The sequence below is a fragment of the Homo sapiens genome, chromosome 16 (genome assembly GCF_000001405.40).
Source record: "Homo sapiens chromosome 16, GRCh38.p14 Primary Assembly".
NCBI lineage: Eukaryota > Metazoa > Chordata > Mammalia > Primates > Hominidae > Homo > Homo sapiens.
The window spans coordinates 57,779,153-57,800,198 of NC_000016.10; the positions used below are offsets into that span (position 1 = coordinate 57,779,153).

Sequence of the window (21,046 nt, forward strand, 5' to 3'; positions counted from 1 at the left end):
CACAGTAACCAAAAGGTGGAAGCAGCCCATGGATGGATGAATGGAAAAACAAAACAAACAAAACGTGGTATATCCATACAATGCAATATTACTCAGCCTTAAAAAGGAAGAAAATTCTGATGCATGCTACATAGATGAACTTTGAGGACATTATACTAAGTGAAATAAGCCAGTCACAGAAGGACAAATATTGGATGATTCCACTTACATGAGCAGTCAAACCCACGGAGACAGATGGCGAATGAGGAGTTACTCTTTAATGAGGCCCAAATTTCAGTAGCAGAAGATGAAAAGAGTTCTGGAGATGGATGGTGTATTAGTCAGTTTTCACACTGCTATAAAGAAATACCTGAGACTGGGTAATTTATAAAGAAAAGAGGTTTCATCAGGCATGGTGACTCACACCGGTAATCCCAGCACTTTGGGAGGCCGAGGCAGGTGGATCACTTGAGGTCAGGAGTCTGAGACCAGCCTGGCCAACATGGTGAAACCCTGTCTCTACTAAAAATACAAAAGCCGGGTGTGGTGGTGTACACCTGTAGTCCCAGCTATGCGGGAGCCGGAGACAGGAGAATCACTTGAACCCAGGAGGCGAAAGTTGCAGTGAGCTGAGATTGTGCCACTGTACTCCAGCCTGGGAGACAGAGACTCCATCTCAAAAAATAAAAATAAATAAATAAATAAATAAATAGATAGATAAATAAAAGAGGTTTAATTGACTCACAGTTCCACATGGCTGGGGAGGCCTCAGGAAACTTACAATCCTGGCAGAAGGAGGAGGAGACACAAAGCATGTCTTCTATGGCGGCAGGAGAGAGATAGTGAGCACATGAAGGGCAAACTGCCACTTTTAAACCATCAGACCTCATGAGAACTCACTATCACAAGAACTGCATGGAGGAAACCACCCCATGATCCGTTCACCTCTCACCAGGTCCCTCCCTTGACATGTGGGGATTACAATTCGAGATGAAATTTGGGTGGGGACACAGAGCCAAACTGTATCAGATGGTGATGGTTGTTGCACAATGAGAATGTACTGCTGCTGAACGTTACTCTCAAAAATGCTTCAGATCAGCCGGGCGCGGTGGCTCACGCCAATAATCCCAGCACTTTGGGAGGCTTAAGCAGGTGGATCACCTGAGGTCAGGAATTTAAGACCAGCCTGGCCAACATGGTGAAACCCCATCTCTACTAAAAATACAAAAATTAGCCAGGTGTGGTGGTGTGCACCTGTAGTCCCAGCTACTCAGGAGGCTGAAGTGGGAGAATTCCTTGAACTCAGGAGGCAGAGGTTGCAGTGAGCCGAGATCATGCCACTTCACTCCAGCCTGGGTGACAGAGCAAGATTCTCTCTCAAGAAAAAAAATATATATATATGCTTAAGATGGTAAATTTTATGTTACGTCTATTTTTAAAATGATTTAAAAAAAAAAAAAAGAAGAAGGCAGCAGCCAAACAAGACACATTTGAGGGCAAGATCTAGTTTTCCAGCCTGTGGTCTCTGAAGACAAATTTTTTTTTTTTTTTTTTTTTTTTTGAGATAGAGTCTTGCTCTGTCACCCAGGCTGGAGTGCAGTGGCGCAATCTTGGCTCACTGCAACCTCCACCTCCCGGGTTCAAGCAATTCTCCTGCCTCAGCCTCCCTAGTAGCTGGACTTACAGGTGTGCACCACCATGCCCGGCTAATTTTTGTATTTTTAGTAGAGACGGGGTTTCACCATGTTGGCCAGGCTGGTCTCGAACTCCTGACCTCAGAAGATCTGCCCACCTCGGCCTCCCAAAGTGCTGGGATTACAGGTGTGAGCCACCACACCTGGCCTGAAAACAATTTTTTAAGGTTCACTCTTGAGGTGCAGGGGGCAGGTAGGGAGTGCCGTGAGTGCCGGTCACAGTGGCTCATGCCTGTAATCCCAGCACTTTGGGAGGCTGAGGCAGTCAGATCTCTTGAGCCCAGGAGTTTGAGACGTGCCTGGGCAATATAGCAAGACTCCGTCTGGACAGAAAATACAAAAGTGGGCCAGGTGTGGTGGACACCTGTGGTCCTAGTTATTCAGGAGGCTTAGGTGGGAGGATGGCTTGAGCCCGGGAGGCAGGGGCTACAGTGAGCTGTGATCACGCCCCTGCACTCCAGCCTGGGTGACAGAGTGAGACCCTGCCTCAAAATAAAAAAGGAGTGTAGTGAGGTCTGGGCAGCATGTCACATTATTGGGAACTTCAGGAACCTTGAGGCCATGGCTCTAGGGACATTCACAAGAGGACAGGGGAACTCAAGGCCAGCAGGACATGGCCTGGGACTGTTGTTAACAACACTGGGGAGGGTCATCCCAACAGCCACAGCCTCCTGTGGTCACCAGACCAAGATGAGCAGCCTCTGTGGCCTGGGTCAGCTGGGTGCTCAAGGACTATGGGCCATTGGCCCAACTGCTCTCAGTAAATACAAACACCTCCTCCACCTGGCACAGCAATGAGGAGGTCTGAGAAGACTCCTGAGCTCCCACAAGCCCAGGTCCCAACAGTGATAATGGAGCCCCGTTAACTGAGTTGGCTTTGCCAGTAGGGCAGGGGGATTTCATAAGACCATTTTTCATCCCCTATTCCCCTGAGGTAGGTACTATTATTATCCCCATTTTACAGGAAGAAAAACTGAGCTCCTAAGAGGTTAAGCCTTGGTTAGGCAACTTACTTGAGGTCACCTGACCAGTAAGTGGTGGACCTAGGACCGGAACTCGCATCTGGCTGACCCTTGCAGAACCCTCACCCTTAACCATGGGGCCACACAGCCTTGCAGGAACAGCAGTGTGAGAAAGCAGCCGATCAGAAGCCAGTGGTGGATAGGGCTGGAAACACGGCACCATGGAAAACAAGGCAGAGTGTACCCCCTGGCGGGCTTTGCTTAGAGAGGCAAAGTTCAGAATTCCAGGAAAGTCCAAGTCTGAGTCAAACCACAGTGAGGCCAGCAGGAGACCAGGGCACACGGGAGTGACAGCTCACGATGCACCACACATTACAGTTGACCATCTTTTTTCTGTCCATTCTTACAACAGATCCACCCCCAAACTGCAATGCGACATTTGTGAGCCCCAGTTTAGAGACTGGGAAGTGAAGGCTCAGAGAGGAAGTGACTTCCTACAGCTGCCCAGCTGGCACATGGCACAGCCAGAATAGAATCCTGCTCACGGGATTCCAAATCCAAAACTCTCCCAGTAACAACAATGGTGGTGGCCACAGCAACACCAATGACTCACTAGGGATCATCTCATCACACCCTATTATTACATCCATCTCACAGATGAGGAAACTGACCTGCAGAGTGGTAATTAACTGTCCCAAGGTCACACAGCTAATAAGTAGTGCCAAAGTCAGGGTTTGAACCCAGCTCCAGGCCCATGTGGTTGGCCACATCTCCACAAGGTCGGGCCCTCCAGAGTATCTCAGAGACCTGGAGCTTCAGATACATCCCCTGAGAAATTTCCAGAAAAGAGCTGCAGTCAGAAGGTTCAAGGACAGGCTGGGCGCGGTGGCTCACGCCTGTAATCCCAGCACCTTGGGAGGCTGAGGCGGGTGGATCACCTGAGGTCAGGAGGTCGAGACCAGCCTGAACAACATGGTGAAACCCCGTCTCTACTGAAAAATACAAACAATTAGCCAGGCATGGTAGTGAATGCCTGTAATCCTAGCTCCTCAGGAGGCTGAAGTAGGAGAATCGATTGAACCTGGGAGGTGGAGATTGCAGTGAGCCGAGATTGCGCCATTGCATTCCAGCCTGGGCAACAAGAGCGAAACTCCATCTCAAAAAAGAAAAAGAAAAACAACATTCAAGGACAAAATGAGAACAAAGACCAGGAACCATTCTGAATTCCTAAGTCACTTGTGGGAGTGGGGTAAGCTCGGGGGTTCTCCTAAGAGAGGCTAGAGAGCTGGGGCTCAAATAACTAAAAAGGCTGGGATGTTTCCTCCTCACTTTCCCTTCTTAAAAAGTAAGTTGATTTTGTTAATTAAAGGAAAAAGTGTTTTCAAAAACCTCTTTAAAGTCACAAAAGGTTAGATACTACGATTTCACTTCTATGAAATGTTCAGAAAAGACAAATCCATAAAAACAGAAAGCAGATTAAAGGTTGCCAGGGGCTGTGGGGCAAGGAGCATGGGGAGTGACCATCAATAGGCCTGTTGGAGTGATGAAGACGTTTGGCAATGAGACACTGGTGATGGGTGCATTGCCACCTTAATATACTTACCACCGACCACCGAATTGTACACCTTCAAGGGGAGAATTTTATGGCATGTGAATTATATCTCCACAAAGCCCATTTTCTTTTCTTTTTTTTTTTTTTTTTGAGACAGAGTTTCACTCTTGTTGCCCAGGCTGGAGTGCAGTGGCGTGATCTCAGCTCACTGCAACCTTTCCCTCCCGGGTTCAAGCAATTCTCCTGCCTCAGCCTCCCAAGTAGTTAAGATTACAGGCGCCCGCCACCACACCCAGCTAATTTTTGTATTTTTAGTAGAGACGGGGTTTCACTATGTTGGCCAGGCTGGTCTTGAACTCCTGACCTCAGGCGATCCACTCACCTCTGCTTCCCAAAATGCTGGGATTACAGGTGTGAGCTACCACGCCCAGCCCACAAAGCCCTTTAAAAAACACTTATTTGCAAAATGAAGTGTCTGAAAAGCCTAACTGGGGAAGGTCAGGGAAGGAAGAGGGGCTGCTCAGCCTTTGCCTGAGGCCAGACACGTGTCCTTCAGGGTGGGCCCTGGACCCCCTGCAACCCCCCAAGGCGCTTGAGCCACACCTCTCCTACCACAAGTCCTTTTGCACTGGCTAGGCCTCAGCTCAGAGTACACTTTCCTCTGCTCTGTCCCAGAGCTCAGCTCAAGACGCCCAGGGACAAGCCCTCGAGGCCATGTGTGTGCCCATCCCAGTGAGCCCTTCCCACTTTCTGTGGGTGTGTGAAGCAAATGTCCGTTTTCCCCCAGGCAGAGCCTCCACCAGGTGGGAGCCTGCTGTCCACTGGGGTATCCCCCGTGCCCAGCTCAGTGCCAGTACAAAAGGGGCGTGCACAAATACCCAAGGGAGCAGGCGGGCATGCAGCAGGCAAGAGGATACAGGGCTAGCCTAGAGGAGTCCCCAGTTAGTGGGGAAGGCAGGCCCAGATAGTCAAGCTGTGGGGTAAGTGTGTAAGAGGAAGACACAAAGCATGAGGGGTGCCCCAAGGAGCCCCACCCGACTCAGCAAGGGGCAGGTGGGCAGGCCAGGCCATTCTTGAGAAGAGGACACACCTGTAAGCTGGAAGAAATGCTGCATTTCAAAAACGCGCACAATATGCTGCCCCCAGAACTGAGAGAACAAGTCACAGCACACATGATGCGCAACAGGCAGACGTCGGCATGTCCAGGCCATCTCTTTGCTGGCTCATGGGACACAGAAAGAACTTAGCTCTACCTGAAGGCCAGTCTGTCAACAGAGTGCTGGGCCCAGAGCTCAGAGGCCCAACAGCCAGGCCAGGGCACTGGATCAGAAGTGGGGATGATGTGGCAGACAGGCTTGGAGACCTTGGGGAAGTGGGCGAGGCTCAGATACAGCCACAGAGACAGACACTGAGGATGAGAGTGGGGAAAGAGGCCTGGGAGCCCACATGGAGATGCAGAAGGAGAAGAAAGTGACGCAGTCACACACACAGAAGAGGGCCGGTGGTCAGCCCCATGGGACGTGCAGCTCATGAGCCAATGGTACCCAAATGTCCTGCCCAGCCAATGAAGGAGACAACGCTGACCTGCATGAACCCTGGCTCTCCCTGGCTTCCAGAGGTTGAGAGATCCCTTCCCCAACATGCACTCAAACTAGCATCCACCTTTAACGAGAAATCAAAAGAACAAGAAACGTCATGCCAATCTCCTGTGGGGTGACCATCTGATGAGTTTTGTCCGCTCAGGCTGCCCAGTGCAGGGCACCGTCGAAGATGGGGTGGACTCAGGGTGGGAAGCACCCCGCACCTTCCTGCTCCACTCACATCTACGTCACCTCCTAGTGGGGAAGGTCCTGGCCCCTGGTAACCGCAAGGAGATGGGGCACAAGGAGGACCAGGATGGGAGGCCTCTGCAAGCTGAAAGAAATGCTGCATCTCAAAAGCGCATCCTCCAGGATGGGAGGCCTCTGACTCTCACCACCCTACCCTCCAGCGTATTCCAGGAAACGAGACCCCAGCTATCTCCTCTTACACCAGTAGCCTGGTGGGGTCAGGTGCCCAGGTGATGTCCTCTGACCTGCTCCATAGTGGGCAGTGGCCTCTGCCCATCCCAGCCTCCCCAGGTACCTGGTTCTGCAGCTGGGTGGACGTGGCCTGCTGGTCACTGTCGCGGAGGGCCAGCCTCTCCTGTAGGACCACCAGCTCCTCCTGTAGCTGGGTCTTCTCGTCCTGGAGCTGGGACATGGCCTCCACCATCCTAAGCACCATGGGGGCCGCACCTGGTGGCCCCGACAAGCTCGAGCACCTCCTGCTGCCAAAGAGACGCCCACCTACGAGCAAAGTAGTGGCTGATGAGAGGGCAGCAGAGGTCCCACGCTGGCAGAGGAGGGGGTCCATCACAGCAAGACAGACCACCAGGGATGATAGAGGTGCAAGCAGAGGGGGTGGGCAACCAGGTGAGGGCTGGGGCGGCAGCGGCATAGGTTAGCTGGGGCCTCCAGGGCCTGTCCCAGAAGAAGACACTTCCCCAGGCAGCATCTGGGGGATGAAATTACCTGGATCCGGACTTAAGAAAGCAATTTTCACTGAATACGGCTCTCAAAGCACATGTTCTAGGTCTGATGGGCCAGCCTCTCTCCATGGCCAGGCTGCAAGGAATCGCAGCTGGGAAAGACAAGGGATTCTCACCCTAGAAAACTCTATTCTTGTAGGAACGTTATTTCTTTAAGTCTCAAACCCTCTCAAGAGTACAGAAGAGTGGGGCTCCCCAGCCTGCCCCTGTGGCAAGTGGTCAACTGTGCAGAAAGAGGGGAGCCAGGGGAGCCGTGTGTATGTGCGAGGGACAGACAGACCAGGACACAAAGCCAGCCCCACACATGGAGCAAGAACTCAGCCAGCCGGCACCTAGCAAGGATGAAGCGCAGGAACCTCCCAGGCAAGAGAGAGGGAAACACCCGGCTGGGCAGAAGCTCTGCCTGAGTCCTCCTCCTCCAAAGGCCTCCCACTGTCCTGTCACCAGGAACGAGAGAGATGGACAGATGGATGAAGGACAAGAACACAGAATCAGGGCCCGTGACCTGTGCACGGGGCCTGGGATGCTTGTTACAGCTTGCTTCCAGGGCGCCAAGAATGGCCATGGTCTTTGCAGGTAGGGAGCAAAGAGTTTGGGGGAGAGAGAGAAGAATGGGGGGCTAGGGAGGAGGGATGGGGGGTTTGCCTCCTCCCCTCAGGGAGCACCAAATGGGATGTGACAGAGTGTGGCAGAGTGAAGGGTGAAGAGGGCATCTGCTGGCCAGAGAGCGCTGCCCTCCACCTCGGAGCCTGGGGCTCTAGGTGTTCCCACATTAGTCCCCAGGAAACCCAGCCCTCGGCAGGCTGGGGTTGGGGGGATCTTAGACTCTGGGAAGGAAGCCACTTGCACCTGAAGTCACACACCCCTCTGACAGCCTGGCCTGAGGGAAGCCAAACGGACTCAGCTGGACAGGGAAGTGGGGAGGGTGCAGCTTGCAGCTGGGCGGGGACATCTCAGCACAGCCCCAGGAGGAGGGGCAGATAGCTACAGGCCCCCCCAACCCGCTCTAGGAGAGCAGGAGGGGCACGCACAGGTCGGCTCTTCCCTCCTCCACCCGAGCACTCCAGAGAGCTGGAGCTGGGCATCCCCGGTTGGGTGGTGACCCTGGCTGTGTGGCCTGCACGTGATGCAGCATGTATGTCACACAGAGCTGGCCAAGCTCCTGCGATCTGTTCTAGAGTGAGTGAGATCAGACGGATGCTTCCAGGCCTGCACACGGGGCAGCATGAGCAGCACGTGACCAGCGTGGCCCTCAGCCCTTTGCAGGCTGCTGCAGTGAGGCAGGGAACACACTGGACTCCTGGCCCAAGAGCTGGTTCTGCCACTCGAGAGACGTGTGGGAGGGGCCCAGCAGGAGCTTCCTAGGAGAAATGGGGACAAGGAGCCTTGCCCGAAAGGAGCCCAGCACCATGGACATGCACAGGTGTGGGTGGCTGTTACACAACAGGCCATGGGGCAGAAATGAGGTCTCGGAGAGCCCAGCTCATCCAGAACACTGCTCACGCCACGGGATGTCACCCCTGCAGGGGCTCGCCGGGTCTCAGCACCGCGGCAGGGCAGTGGGAAGGGGGCCAGGAGAGTGCTTGTGGAGAAAAGATCTCCAAGAAGCTCATGGAGGCCCCAGAAAGGGGAGGACGGGAGGACAAGGTGAGATCAAAGGGGCCCTTGTGCTGGGGAGGCTGCACTCGGGGCTCAAAGATGCGATGCAGGCGTGGCCTGGACCCACTGACCAGGTAACCCTTGCTGTTCCCTGGGATCGGCCTTCCTCTTCTCAGCGCACAATCAGCAAGATGATGTCCCCTGCCCGAGGCTGGCCTGCCCACACTCAGCCAGACCCCAACCCCTGCCACTCGCTGCAGAGGAGTGCCTGGGCCCAGACAGGCCAGAACCCCAGAACAGGGCTCTGGGACAGCCTCAGAGAAGGGAGTGGCTCCTTCCACCACATGGCAAGTTCAGACACACAAGTTAACCTTTTGGCAATGGAGGAGGAAGATGACAGAAAGGCCAGCTCCTTTTTCCGTCACACGCTCTCTTCCTTCCGGGCTCCTAGAGGATGCTGCTTCCCCATTATCACCAGGCTCTCGCTTACTGCGAGGGACCCCCGGCATGGACCCGTAAGACTACAAGGGGGGCCTGTAGAATCTTCCAGAACCAGCCAGCCCTGGGCACCATGGCAGGCCCTGCCAGGGAAGAGCTGAGCCACTGGCTCCTTTGTCTCAGCCTCTGGCCAGGAGAATCAAAGTCCTGTCCTAGGAGCCTCCAGACCCTGGGGGCCCACGGATAGGAGGGAGAAGGCCGAGTCTCTCTCTGCAGGTGGTGGCGTCTGTGAGGCTGCCACCCTCGCCCTGCTTTAGACAGGCACTGGGAAAAAACAAAAAGCAGGGAAATTCAACCCCAGCCCACGCTGGCCAAGGACTCTTATCACTGGGTGGGGCCTGGATGCTGTGGGAGGCATGGGTGAGATGAAGGTTCTATACACACCACTGTCCCTGAATCCGGGAGAGGCAGGCTGGGGGATTGCAGCTGCGGATCAGGCAGCTGGAGTCTGTCTAGGCCACCTCCAGCCGGGGAGGACAGGGCATGGGGATATCACCAACTGCACAAGAGCCTCCCTCCTGCGCTGGCTTCACTGGGGAGTGCCGGTTTGGCGGGCAGGCCTGCTTTACCTGTATTCTCTACATTCATGGTGCCACCAGCTTCCCGGGCCTCCCGGGCCCGCCTGGGGGCCGGCGCCTGTCTCTTCCAAAGCTTCTCTTCTTTCGTCCCCTGACTCTGGCTCTTGCACCCCTTGTCCTGCAGGGCCTGCTGCCAAGACACAACCAGAATCCTCACGTGAAGGAGACTGTGCCAGGGAAGGACCCTCGAGCCAGAGGATGGTGTGCTCCCGGAGCTGGCAAGGATCCCAGGGCCCAGCGGGTCCAGTCCCTCCCTTTGTGGGTGGGTGGGGACGTTGAGGTCCAGGATCTGGAAGAGGATGTGCCAGGTCCCACAGCAAGACAGTGGCAGTGCCTTCTCCTGGCCTCCCTCAGCAGCTGGTCTTCTGCACCAGCAAAGAAGGTTCTTAGGTACTTCAAGTTCTCAGGTGAAGCTCATGCCATCCCTGCAGGGTCTGAGAGTCACCAGCACAGAGGCTGGCTTGCTTCCGGTGCGCACACCCCACAGGCAACCGTCCAGTCCCACCACACACGTATCAACCTCAGGGCAACTGCTCCCATGCCAGCTGCTGCCACCCCAGGCACACAGCCCCGCATCTCCAGATGGGACCCCCAGGACTGCCAAGGAGGCTGCGCAGGAGTCCGTCCGAGCAGGGGAAGGGCCACAGCCCTGCCTCCTTCACTCTCTCCGCCCCACAGGGCTATCGAGAGGCCATGGGAAGCCGTCTCCTCTTCCAGGGGGAACACAGGCAAAGGACTCGAGACAAAGAGAGCCAGTGCACAGGCACAGGGAGAGAGAGGGGAGGCACGAAGAGGTGTTTCATCCAGAGAACGTCACCTGCCGCTCACACAGAAAGATGCCCAAGGCAGGTGGCAGGGCCACATGCAAAGAGTGATCCCATTTGAGGATCATGAAAATAAAACAGGCATAGAGACAAATCTAGAGAACTATATAGACAGCGATCCTCTCTGGAAGATTCGGGGGGGATGGTGTAGTGGCTGAGAGTAGAAAGAAGCATCATTTCAATTTTGGGGGAATAAAAAGAAAGTTCACAACAGAGAGAACGTGAGAAGAGGGGAAAGGAGGTGGCCTTACATTTCATGTTGAACCTCTTTGGCATTTGAATTGTTAACCTTATAAACACTGACTGTGTTTCTTTGTTTTGTTTTGTTTTCTTTTCTTTTCTTTTTTTAAATAGAGTCTCACTCTGTTGCCCAGGCTGGAGTGCAGTGGTGTGATCTCGGCTCACTGCAATCTCTGCCTCCCAGGTTCAAGCGATTCTCCTGCCTCAGCCTCCCAAGTAGGTGGGGTTACAGATGTGCGCCATCACACCTGGCTAATTTTTGTATTTTTAATAGAGACAGGGTTTCACCACGTTGGCCAGGCTGGTCTCGAACTCCTGACTTCAAGTGATCCACCTGCCTCGACCTCTCAAAGTGCTGGGATTACAGGCATGAGCCACTGCGCCTGGCCATTTTTTTTTGCTTTCTTTTTCTTTCTTTCTTTCTTTCTTTCTTTTTTTTTTTTTTTTTTAAAGACAGAGTTTCACTCTGTGGCCCAGGCTGGAGGGCAATAGCACAATAGCAGCTCACTGCAACCTTGACTTCCTGGGCTCAAGCAATCCCCCTGCCTCAGCCTCCCAAGTAGCAGAGACTACAGGTACACACCACCATGACTGGCTGATTTTTGTATTTTTTGTGTAGAGATGGGGTTTTGCCATGTTTCCCAGGCTGGTCTCAAACTCCTGGGCTCAAGCGATCCTCCTGCCTCAGCCTCCCAAAGTGTCAGGACTACAAGCATGAGCCACCATGCCCAGCTTTTTTTTTTTTTTTTTTCATATCAACAGAGGTTATCTTGGAAGAGAGATAGCAAACAATTTCTGTGTGTCTTTGTGACCTTTAAATTCAAAACAAAAAAAATAAGCCACTCTTTTAAAAGTGCTCAGTCTAAAAAATAAACACGTAGTCTAGAGGCGGCAAGGCCCGTGTGTGAAGCCTGGCTCTTCCTCGGCTAAGCTGTGTGACGGTCGGCAAGTTGCTTACCTTCTTGAAGCTGCATTCTCCTCATTCTTAAAATAAAAATGGTAATAACAGGACCGCCTCATTGAGCTTGTGTGAAGAGTAACAGACAACTGCAGCCAAGTCCCCAGAAGGTGCCTGGCACATAGTGAGGGCTTGATATGAGGTAGCTATTATCAGGACATGATTCCTGTAATCTTCACATTTTTTTACTTTGACAATCAAAAAGCCAATACAGATAATTGAAAAGACAAGAAAAGTGACATCAGCAGGCTCCTTAGCCCAAAATTCACCCCCTCCCTCTCTCGACCCAGAGCTCCACTTGAGAAGGGCGGGTGGCAGACACACCTCTTATATTTAGGAATATTCCTGCTGGGCGCAGTGGCTCACACCTGTAATCCCAGCACTTTGAGAGGCTGAGGCGGGTGGATCACCTGAGGTTAGGACTTCGAGAGCAGCATGGCCAGCATGGTGAAACCCTGTCTCTACAAAAAATGGAAAAAAAATTAGCCGGGCGTGGTGCCTGTAATTGCAGATACTTGGGAAGCTGAGGCAGAAGAATCGCTTGAACCCAGGAGGTGGAGGTTGCAGTGCGCTGAGATTGCACCACTGTAATCCAGCCTGGGTGACAACTCAAGACTCTGTCTCAAAAAGAAAATAGAAAATTCCCTCCAACTTAATTTTGACCCCACCCTGTGACCAACTGCCACACCATCGCGAGCAGGCTTGTGAGCCATGGCGGCAAGGACAGCAGCTGGAAGTTTCCATTTGCCAGCCAAGGCAAAGGTTACGCTATTTCTGGCCTGTTGGCCAAGCCACAGGAAGGACAGACGGGGCCCTGGGGGGTTGGGAATTTCTGCAGCGCCTCTGTAGGGTGCATCTCAGGTTTTAACTGCTGGACAGAGGCTAGGGAGGGGGTGTCACTAACCCTACCAGGTTGCTACACTGTGCTTGGGACCCACTCTGGCCCCACATCTTCGACCCTGAAGCACCTACCGCATAATGGAGCTTTGTGGGGGCCCGCCAGGATGTGAACGTGGAAGCTAGTTGCTGGTGCCAGCGTCCCAGAGATCTTCAGTAGATCTGCTGACCCCAGGACTCAGCTGTAACCACAACTCAGCACCCCATAATCAAAGCTCAAGAACAGAGCCACCACCCAACTCGAGGCTGTGGGTTTCTGACTGCTGCCTTCCAATTTAACTACAGATGGCTCAAGACAGAGTAAAGAGCGGGTCCTCAGGTTTCTTTAACTGTTCTCTCACCAGACCTGCTTTTCTAACAGATTTGAACAGATAAAAGAAGAAACTTTTGGTTCAGTTTTCAGATGAATCACATAAGAAGGAACAAGAAACACCTCGAAACACAAGACTGTCCCTGAAGCAACATCAACCCCTGCACCCGTGTTCAGATCAGGGGCTGGGACAACAAGCTACCCGGGCCAGGACATCCATTTGTACCAGGAAGGACACGTCCCCTTGAAGGGTATGTGTTTCCCACACTCCATCCTGTCCACAATTTGTACACATTCCTTCAAGGCTCTGTGGAAATGTGGCTTCCAGAAAGGGCAGAATCAGTGTGTGTGGATGGTCAGGAGAACATGGGGGAGTGGTGGGCCCTCTCGTGCACCGGCTTTCTTGGGGGGTGGGCCTTGGCAGCATCCCCAGATAGCCCTGGTGTCAGTCCTCTGCCACTGCCTTCTTGGCCCCTGCCTGGTTTGCCTTCATCCCTTCGTGATTATTTGGTCACTCTCTGGCGCCTCTGCTAGACTCTCTTGTCTCTTTCTGCACTGTACCTCTGACCCTAGCACAGACTGGCACATTCTAAATAATCTGTTGAACAAATGCATTAATTAAAAATGGGCAGAGCTTGTACTGCCCTGAAAATACTCAAAGCTATCACTGCATGAACACAGCACAGATATTTGTTTAAGGAGCTCACTGCAATCAGAAACAATACAGAGGATCTGTTATAAATAATTTATGGTAAGCCCTGAAGTAGACTATTACGCAGCCGTGTAAAAGAAAGAGGTAGGGCCGGGCGTAATGGCTCACATCTGTAATCCCAGCACTTTGGGAAGCCAAGGCAGAGCCCACAAGTTCGGGACCAGCCTGGGCAACATGATGAAACCTCCGTCTCTACAAAAATTACAAAAATTAGCCAGGTGTGGTGGCACATGCCAGTAGTCCCAGCTACTCAGGAGGCTGAGGTGAGATGACTTGGCTGGAGGTTGCAGTGAGATTCTACCACTGCATTCCAGCCTGGGCAACAGAGCCAGACCTTGCTCAAAAAAAAAAAAAAAAAAAAAAAAAAAGGGTAGTTCTCTATGTGTTGATGAGCATGAAGAGATTACCAGGACTTACTTGAGGGAAAGAGCTAGTGACAGAATAACATGTAAAATAAATAATAAAAATCATATAAATATGCACTGGGAACTGTGGCTCATGCCTGTAATCCCAGCACTTTGGGAGGTTGAGGCGGGTAGATCACTTGAGGTAAGGAGTTCAAGACCAGCCTGGCCAACATGGTGAAACCCCATCTCTACTAAAAATACAAAAATTAGCCAGGTGTGGTGGCACATGCCTGTAGTCCAGCTATTCGGGAGGCTGAGGCATGAGAATCGCTTGAACCTGGGAGGTGAAGGTTGCAGTGGGCTGCAATCATGCCACTGCACTCCAACCTGGGCAACAGAGTGAGACTCTGTCTCAAAAAAAAAAAAATCATATAAATATGGCTGGGTGCACTGGCTCACACCTGTAATCCCAGCACTTTGGGAGGCTGGGGCGGGCAGATCACTCGAGGTTAGGAGTTCAAGACCAGCCTGGCCAACATGATGAAACCCTGTCTCTACTAAAAATACAAACATTAGCTGGGCACGGTGGCACACGCCTGTAATCCCAGCTACTTGGGAGGCTGAGACAGGAGAATCACTGGAATCCGGGAGGCGGAGGCTGCAGTGAGCTGAGATCATGCCATTGCACTCCAGCCTGGGCGACAGAGCGAGACTCTGTCTCAAAAAAAAAAAACAAAAAAAGAGTTCAAGACCAGCCTGGCCAACATGGTGAAATGGTGAAACCTTATCTCTACTAAAAATATAAAAATTAGCCAGGTGTGATGATGCACACCTGTAATCCCAGCTACTCAGGAGGCTGAGGTAGGAGAATCACTTGAACCCGGGAGGCGGATATTACAGCCAAGATCACGCCACTGCACTCCAGCCTGGGCAACAGAGTGAACGAGACTCCATCTCAAAAATAAAAATCATATAAATTTAATTAAGTGGTTCTATATAGGAAAGATAAACAAATAAACACCAAATACTTAATAGTGGATTTCTCAAAGATAGAGGACTAAGAGAGGCAGTTTCTGGATAACTGTATCTCTGCCCTGTTACAAGGCTAGTTGTGTTGAATGGTCGAATATGTGACCAGCAGCGAGTAACTTAACCTCTCTGAGCCTCCACATCCTCATCTATAAAGCTCAGATCAAATACTGTATCCTGAGATTGTTATGAGTATGATGAGGACTAACATGAGATCTTTTAATGCCTGGCACAGAGTCCATGTTTGATAAACAGTAGCTCTTATTACTATTATCGTTATGTATTATTTCTATAGCCAAATATACATACATATGTAAAGTTTATCTTTTTTCTTTTCTTTTTTTTTTTTTGAGACAGGGTCTCACTCTGTCACGCAGGCTGGAGTGCAGTGGTGCAATCACTGCAGCCTCAACCTCCTGGGCTCAAGCGATCCTCCCACCCCAGCCTCCTGAGTAGCTGGGACTATAGGAACCACCATGCCCAGCTAATTTTTTATTTTTCTTTTTGTAGAGATAGGGTCTCACTATATTGTCCAGGCTGGTCGTGAACTCCTGGGCTCAAGCGATCCTCCTATCTCAGCCTCCCAAAGTGGTGAGATTACAGGCCTGAGCCACCGCGCCTAGCCTTACTTTGTCATTTTAAAGTCACTTGGTGATAACTGCAAGGGAGAAGACCCCAAGTTTTAGTGAATCCTCCATCTAGCTTTGAATTCTCACTTCAAACAAGGAAATATTCCCAAGGAAATACAAGGAAATACTCACATAACCATGTTTCAGAATAATCAACCACCCCAAACCTGCCTGTTTTCCCAATACCTTCTCCAAGCTCTGCCCATCTCAGCTAAGGCCCCATGCTTCCCATTTTAACACCTCAGCCAGGGCATGGCTGAAAAGCTCCTGTCAGCTCCTATGAGATTTCCCGTCTGACTTAATAAAGCAGGCTCCCAGGCAGAGGGGTCATGAGGGGCCCAACAGAGAGGTGCGAGGTGGGTCCCCGGCTCTCCCCAGGTGCTTCCTACCCCCAGAAGCCTGGCAGGAACCCAGCCACTGGAGCTCAGAGAGCCAAGGCACATGCAGCCTGGAAGGCCCCAGTGCTTACCTGCAGGGTCAGGTAGAGCCCGTGGGGGCTTCCGGGGCCAGCCCAGTCCACGCTAAGGGCTCGGCACTGAGCTAGGGCTGGGCGAGCTGCACTTCGGGCACTGGAGTCCTCGTCACCGCAGACTGGGGTATCTTTTCCACGCCCTGTCCCAGGACAGAGAGATAGGTGAGACACTCCGACCACTGGCCAAAGACTGCTAGCCATGGACCACTGGCCAGGGCCGCAGCTGAGCTCAGCTTTCACACATCCCTGGCTGGTCCAGATGTGGCCAGGAGGGGCTCACACACCCAAAAAACGCCTGCCCTGCAGAGGGGAAGGCCTGGCTCGGGGCAGTGGCTACGCTCCTTCCTTACCAAAAGCCGCCCAAAGATTCTCTTCTGGAAGGGGCCCAATACCCCACCGGAGGCTCCCCTATCCCCACAGTGGCTTTTGGGGCAGGCATCTGCTCAGCAGGGAAGTGGAAGGAAGCCATTGCCAGCCAGCCTGCATGAAGCTTTGAGGACTTGCACAGGGGCTATGGCTTTATTACCCCGGCTGCCTCTAGGTGGCAATTTCTTCCCTGACTTCATTAAGACAAAATCCAAACCAGGTGGCCCAGCCTCCGTTGCCTCCCCAAGCGTATTCAGAACCAGCTAACGTGCATCCCCTTGTGCCTCTGACACACCGCCTCCCTCACCCATGGGAGAGAGGGCGGGCTGTGGCAGCAATGCCCCAGCCACCCACCTCCACCTGCAGGGCTGAACAGGGTGGGATGGGGGCCAGCCTCACGAGTCATGAGGCACACTGCAGAGCCACTACCCTGGGGCGTAACAATATCCCGAGTGCCAGCCACTGGGCCAAGTGCTTTTCAGGCCTTACACACATTCTGTTTTTTTGGGCTTTTTTGTTTTTTTTTTTTTTTTTTTTTTTTTTTGAGACAGGGCCTCTCTCTGTTGCCCAGGCTGGAGTGCAGTGGTGCGATCTTGGCTCACTGCAACCTCCACCTCCCGGGTTCAAGCAATTCTTATACCTCAGCCTCCCGAGTAGCTGGGATTACAGGTGCGCACCACCAGCCCAACTAATTTTTGTATTTTTAGCAGACACAGAGTTTCACCATGTTGGCCAGGCTGGTCTTGAACTCCTAACCTCAAGTGATCTGCCCGCCTTGGCCTCCCAAAGTGCTAGGATTACAGGCGTGAGCCACAGCACCCAGCCTTTACACACCTTCTTGGTCCTCAGTTTGCTTGTCAATAAAATGGGGACAACTTCACAGCCCTGTGATAAGGATCAAATGGGATGAAATACACGTGGTGCCCATGTAGTGCCAGGCACACAGAAAGGGCCCACAGTACAGGCCAATAGGACTACAGTAGCCATCAGCTCCTCAAAACTCCCCAGGGAGGTGGGGGGCATTCTCCCCACCTGACAGGCAAAGAACCGGAAGCCTGGAAGGGTTAACAATGTGCCCAGGGTCACAGGGAGCCAGGATTCAAATCCCATGTGCTAATCAACCCTCTGCCAGCCAATTCTCAGGGTGGCAATATGGGGGTTGGTCGGGGGACTCAGAGGGGCCTGGGGCAGCTGAGCTGGCTGAGGCCCAGTGGCAGGCACGGCGCTTGCATTTCACACACAGGATTTCATCTGACCTTTGTCTTAAATTTTTTAAGTGGATAAAAGTCTGTATGGTCATATAATCTTCATAATACCCAATTTTTTCCTTCAGGTTAGAAAGCTGAGATAACACAATATTTCAAAGACCTATATGCATGCACACACACACACAGACACACACGACTAGAAGGCACTACATAAAATGTTCAGTGACTAACTTGTGATTTTTATTTCCTTTTTGATATTTTTCTATGTGTTTTAAGTTTTCTAAGGGAAAATGCTTTTGTTTTACCGGAAAAGCAATACTCATTCATATTACATTTGTAATACTTAGGACAACCTTATGGGGTAGAGGCCATCCTCTGCCCCTTTCAGACAACTGGGCTACCTGGCCCAAAAGCCCAGGCTTTTCCCCAGGCCCCTGGGTCATCCCCAGCCTGGCTGTGCTGCTTGGGAGCAGCCAGCCCCAGACAACCATAGAAGCAGAGAGACCTCGGAAGGCATCAGTCCAGCTGCCACTGACAGCACAAATGTGGTGGGAGAGAGGGGTGAACAGGAGTTTGCTGTGTGCCCTCTCTGGGCCTCAGTTTCCCCTTCTGTGCACCAAGGGGCTTGGACCTGATGGCCCAGAGGGACTCTGCTAGCTCTCACAGGCTGGCAGTCTAGACCCTGTTCCTGTAGGTCACGAGGGACAGGGAGCAGACCCCTGAAGGCACCTTGCCTGGAGAGCCCTCTCTCCCCCACACTACCAGGGCGACCTGCCCACGCCTCGGGAGAGGGTCATGGACAGCTCCGCGGCCCCGCCAATCCAGTCCCGGCCCTGAATCAGAGAAGCCGCTCACTTCTTGACTTTCGCAGCACCGGGGGACATGACCCAGAAAGGCGAGCTGGCACTGACAGCTCCCCGGGGGGTACAGTGGGGGCCAAGACTCTGGGACCTCTGCCCACCTGCTGTCAGGGTCTCTACAGAAGCACCTGAAATGAGCACATGGACCCCAAGCCCCGCCAGGCCACGTTCCCGAGCAGCCTCGGTCCACTCCCAACGCCGTCCAGGGGCCAGCCCAGGCAGGATCAAGTGTCAGCGGCGCTTGGTGCCCAGGCAGCCACTTCACCTACCTTGTTTACCAGCCTGGGCAGAGACCGGAGCTAGCCCACACGCTCTTGGCCAAGGACGGCAGCCCGCAGAGCTCTGACCAGCTTGGCCAGAGGGAATGCAGCTGATTCCCCCTGCTCTGTGCCCGACCCGTGTTAAAGTTTAACCCGGCTTCCAGGTCTCCTCTTTTCCAGACAGGGGCGCAGGGAAGGAGCGCCCGGCGAGACTGACGCTCCGGCTCCACGCCCGCCTGGCTCTGGGCTGTCGGTTACCCTGTAATTACCTGACAGCTCTGACTGGGCTTAGGAACCGGTGAGAAACCTCAGTCTCATCTCTGGTATCTGGAGGAAGGAAGGGAAATAAAGAGGCATTTTAAAAATGCGGACTCACCAGTTCTCAACCTCCCCGGGCCGGTGTGTGGGAAAGGGCGGGCGGCCGGGCTGGCTGGGGCTGGGGCGGGGCGAGCCATCCCCGGCTCGGGCTCCGGGGCCCGGCCCACTCTCCACAGGCCCCGCAGCGAGGGCGTGGCTCCCAGGTTCCACGTCCTGCGAGAGGGGACCATGGCCTGGGGCTCAGCAGCCTCCTCGGGGCACCAGGCAGCCTGCGGAGAGAACAAGGGGAGATAAGCTTGAAGACCGTGGACCAGCACAACTGCACCTCGGGCAGAGCCAGCCATCTGGAAGGGTCTACGCCCCACCGGTCGCTGGTTACCCAGCGCAGCAGCTCCAACTGCACTGTCCCCCAAAGACCCTAGGGCTCGCAGGATGAAATGGGGCCTGCTGCCTTTTGGGGGTATTTGTTTCCGAATACGGAGGCTCCGAAGTGCGAAAGTTGCATATCAGCTGTGCCTGAGACCCCACACCTGAGCCCTTCCCAGCTGAGCCTGGAGCCTGAGGACAAGCCAGGTCCTAGCCCCACACAGAGGAGGCACCGCGAGTCAGCAGCATCTCCGTAAGTCTAATCCTTTTCCTCCAAGACATCTAATTTTCTAATTGCACTTAACCACATGCTTAACCCTTAGGCTTCAGGCTGCTCTGCCTAAGGCCTGTCAGCAGAGCAGTGAATGCTCTGAATATTAACATTTCACTGAGGAGGGACTCAAAAGGGCCCTGACTGTGGCCAATGACAAGTGAAGTCTATATACAGTAAGTTCTCATTCATGTATTCGACTAGCCTGCGCTCTGTGCCTAGCATGTGGCAGGCACCGTATGGGTGTTGAGATACAAAGATTCATTCAGTCTTCATTTAATAATGCCTACTGGGTGCCAGGCATCTGCCAGGGGTCCTTTTGGATCAGAAGAGATGAGGCCTGAAAACTCCCAGTCAGAAGGGAGATAAACACTTCAAAAAAACCCTCACAGTCTGAGCAGGCTACTGGAGGCGGCAGGTGCGAGCCAGGCACCAGGTGGTGTGGGGAATGGAGGGGGGCAGAGAGCATTGGTCAGGGATAGAAAGCTTCAGTCAGGGATAGGTCCCTCATGAACTGAACAAATGAACAGAGCTCAGGTATTCCCTGCAGAAGTCTTTATTGAGCACCTACTGTGTGCAAAGCAACCTTGAGGACATTTAAGGTGATCATGCTACAGTCCCAGACTCAGACAGTAATGTCATTTACAGAAGAAGCGAAGTCAGCTTGGAGAGGCAACATGGGGTTTTAAGATTGAGGTGGGGGTAACTGAAGGACTTCCTAGTGGAGCTTCCTGGGCTGTCGACTACTCTCCCCATCCGTCACTGCAGTGGCCACTTCCTGCCAGGAAGTGAAGATAGCTATTTGAAGGGTGTCCACCTCCCCTGACCCACTATGGGCCCACACACATTCATGTTTGCAGCCCCACTGCACCCAGTCTGCAGCTGCACCCACACTAAGAACTCTGGGATGGCTTGTGGGGTGAACGTTCTGAAATGAACACACACAAAAGCTTGAACTGAAGCCTGGAAGAGAGGTCAGGGCTGGACACAGACTCAGAGCTAAACAGGGCCACCAACGCCACAGGTGAGGAGGCAATCATCAAAGCTTGAGCAAGAGGAGACAGCCATGTGATAACAGGGCTCACTGCGGGGTGGAAAGCTGCAGAAGGAAGCTGAGAGAGGGACAGGAGCTCCAGGCAAGTATAGAGTTTTCAGAAGTGACTGAAGTGTAAGTGGGAAGGAGAGGTTGGTCAGTGCCCAGTGCATCATGCCAAAGAGACGTGGAGGACTGAAAGCCCAGACAGGCAGAAAGCCTGAGCCTGTGGAGGGAGAAGGGCAGATGGCAAACTTCGGAGGGCTCAAAGAGTGGGGCGGGAGCTGGGGGAGGAAGCAGCCACTTCCTTCTCCTTGGGGGTGTTTGGCTAGGATGGGAAGGAGAGGATGTGGTGTCTAGAATAGGGGGAGAGTTGAGCATATTGGGGAGACAGAGAGACAGGAGTGACTAAAGCATTGAGAGGCAAAAATAAATAAATAAATAAATAATAAAGTAAAGGGTCCAGGGGTTAGGGGCCTGAAGATCTGGTGTCTGATGTTTGCAGAGCCCAACCC

The 21,046-nt window shown here is 52.9% G+C and overlaps 1 protein-coding gene across 35 annotated transcripts in view, besides 7 other annotated features; it reads right to left on the reverse strand.

The window, feature by feature from the left end:
- Positions 1-21,046, reverse strand: part of KIFC3 (kinesin family member C3) — a 104,642-nt gene that overhangs the window by 20,936 nt on the left and 62,660 nt on the right. For 10 of the 35 annotated variants that reach the window (XM_047434085.1, XM_011523075.2, XM_011523076.2 and 7 more), the window contains exons 2-3: positions 18,920-19,130; positions 15,847-15,989 (exon numbers count right to left, since the gene is read on the reverse strand). In XM_047434085.1, coding sequence (XP_047290041.1) covers positions 15,847-15,989; positions 18,920-19,130 — 354 coding nt within the window. Of the gene's footprint in view, positions 1-208; positions 1,540-2,686; positions 3,218-5,771; positions 6,102-6,311; positions 6,515-9,422; positions 9,562-11,777; positions 11,876-15,846; positions 15,990-18,552; positions 19,131-21,046 lie in introns of those variants that run through there. The other 25 variants (XM_005255937.2, XM_017023221.2, XM_047434078.1 and 22 more) reach the window with 18 other exon arrangements.
- Positions 4,584-5,186: an enhancer, noted in NCBI's record as "H3K27ac-H3K4me1 hESC enhancer chr16:57817648-57818250 (GRCh37/hg19 assembly coordinates)". NCBI's record gives its function as "activates a minimal SCP1, AML or CMV promoter by ChIP-STARR-seq in primed H9 embryonic stem cells {active_cell/tissue: H9 hESC(primed)}" and the evidence as "EXISTENCE:reporter gene assay evidence [ECO:0000049][PMID:30033119]".
- Positions 5,187-5,788: an enhancer, noted in NCBI's record as "H3K27ac-H3K4me1 hESC enhancer chr16:57818251-57818852 (GRCh37/hg19 assembly coordinates)". NCBI's record gives its function as "activates a minimal SCP1, AML or CMV promoter by ChIP-STARR-seq in primed H9 embryonic stem cells {active_cell/tissue: H9 hESC(primed)}" and the evidence as "EXISTENCE:reporter gene assay evidence [ECO:0000049][PMID:30033119]".
- Positions 6,081-6,740: an enhancer, noted in NCBI's record as "H3K27ac hESC enhancer chr16:57819145-57819804 (GRCh37/hg19 assembly coordinates)". NCBI's record gives its function as "activates a minimal SCP1, AML or CMV promoter by ChIP-STARR-seq in naive H9 embryonic stem cells {active_cell/tissue: H9 hESC(naive)}" and the evidence as "EXISTENCE:reporter gene assay evidence [ECO:0000049][PMID:30033119]".
- Positions 7,400-8,058: an enhancer, noted in NCBI's record as "H3K27ac-H3K4me1 hESC enhancer chr16:57820464-57821122 (GRCh37/hg19 assembly coordinates)". NCBI's record gives its function as "activates a minimal SCP1, AML or CMV promoter by ChIP-STARR-seq in primed H9 embryonic stem cells {active_cell/tissue: H9 hESC(primed)}" and the evidence as "EXISTENCE:reporter gene assay evidence [ECO:0000049][PMID:30033119]".
- Positions 8,059-8,717: an enhancer, noted in NCBI's record as "H3K4me1 hESC enhancer chr16:57821123-57821781 (GRCh37/hg19 assembly coordinates)". NCBI's record gives its function as "activates a minimal SCP1, AML or CMV promoter by ChIP-STARR-seq in primed H9 embryonic stem cells {active_cell/tissue: H9 hESC(primed)}" and the evidence as "EXISTENCE:reporter gene assay evidence [ECO:0000049][PMID:30033119]".
- Positions 15,462-16,280: an enhancer, noted in NCBI's record as "H3K4me1 hESC enhancer chr16:57828526-57829344 (GRCh37/hg19 assembly coordinates)". NCBI's record gives its function as "activates a minimal SCP1, AML or CMV promoter by ChIP-STARR-seq in naive H9 embryonic stem cells {active_cell/tissue: H9 hESC(naive)}" and the evidence as "EXISTENCE:reporter gene assay evidence [ECO:0000049][PMID:30033119]".
- Positions 16,281-17,097: an enhancer, noted in NCBI's record as "H3K4me1 hESC enhancer chr16:57829345-57830161 (GRCh37/hg19 assembly coordinates)". NCBI's record gives its function as "activates a minimal SCP1, AML or CMV promoter by ChIP-STARR-seq in naive H9 embryonic stem cells {active_cell/tissue: H9 hESC(naive)}" and the evidence as "EXISTENCE:reporter gene assay evidence [ECO:0000049][PMID:30033119]".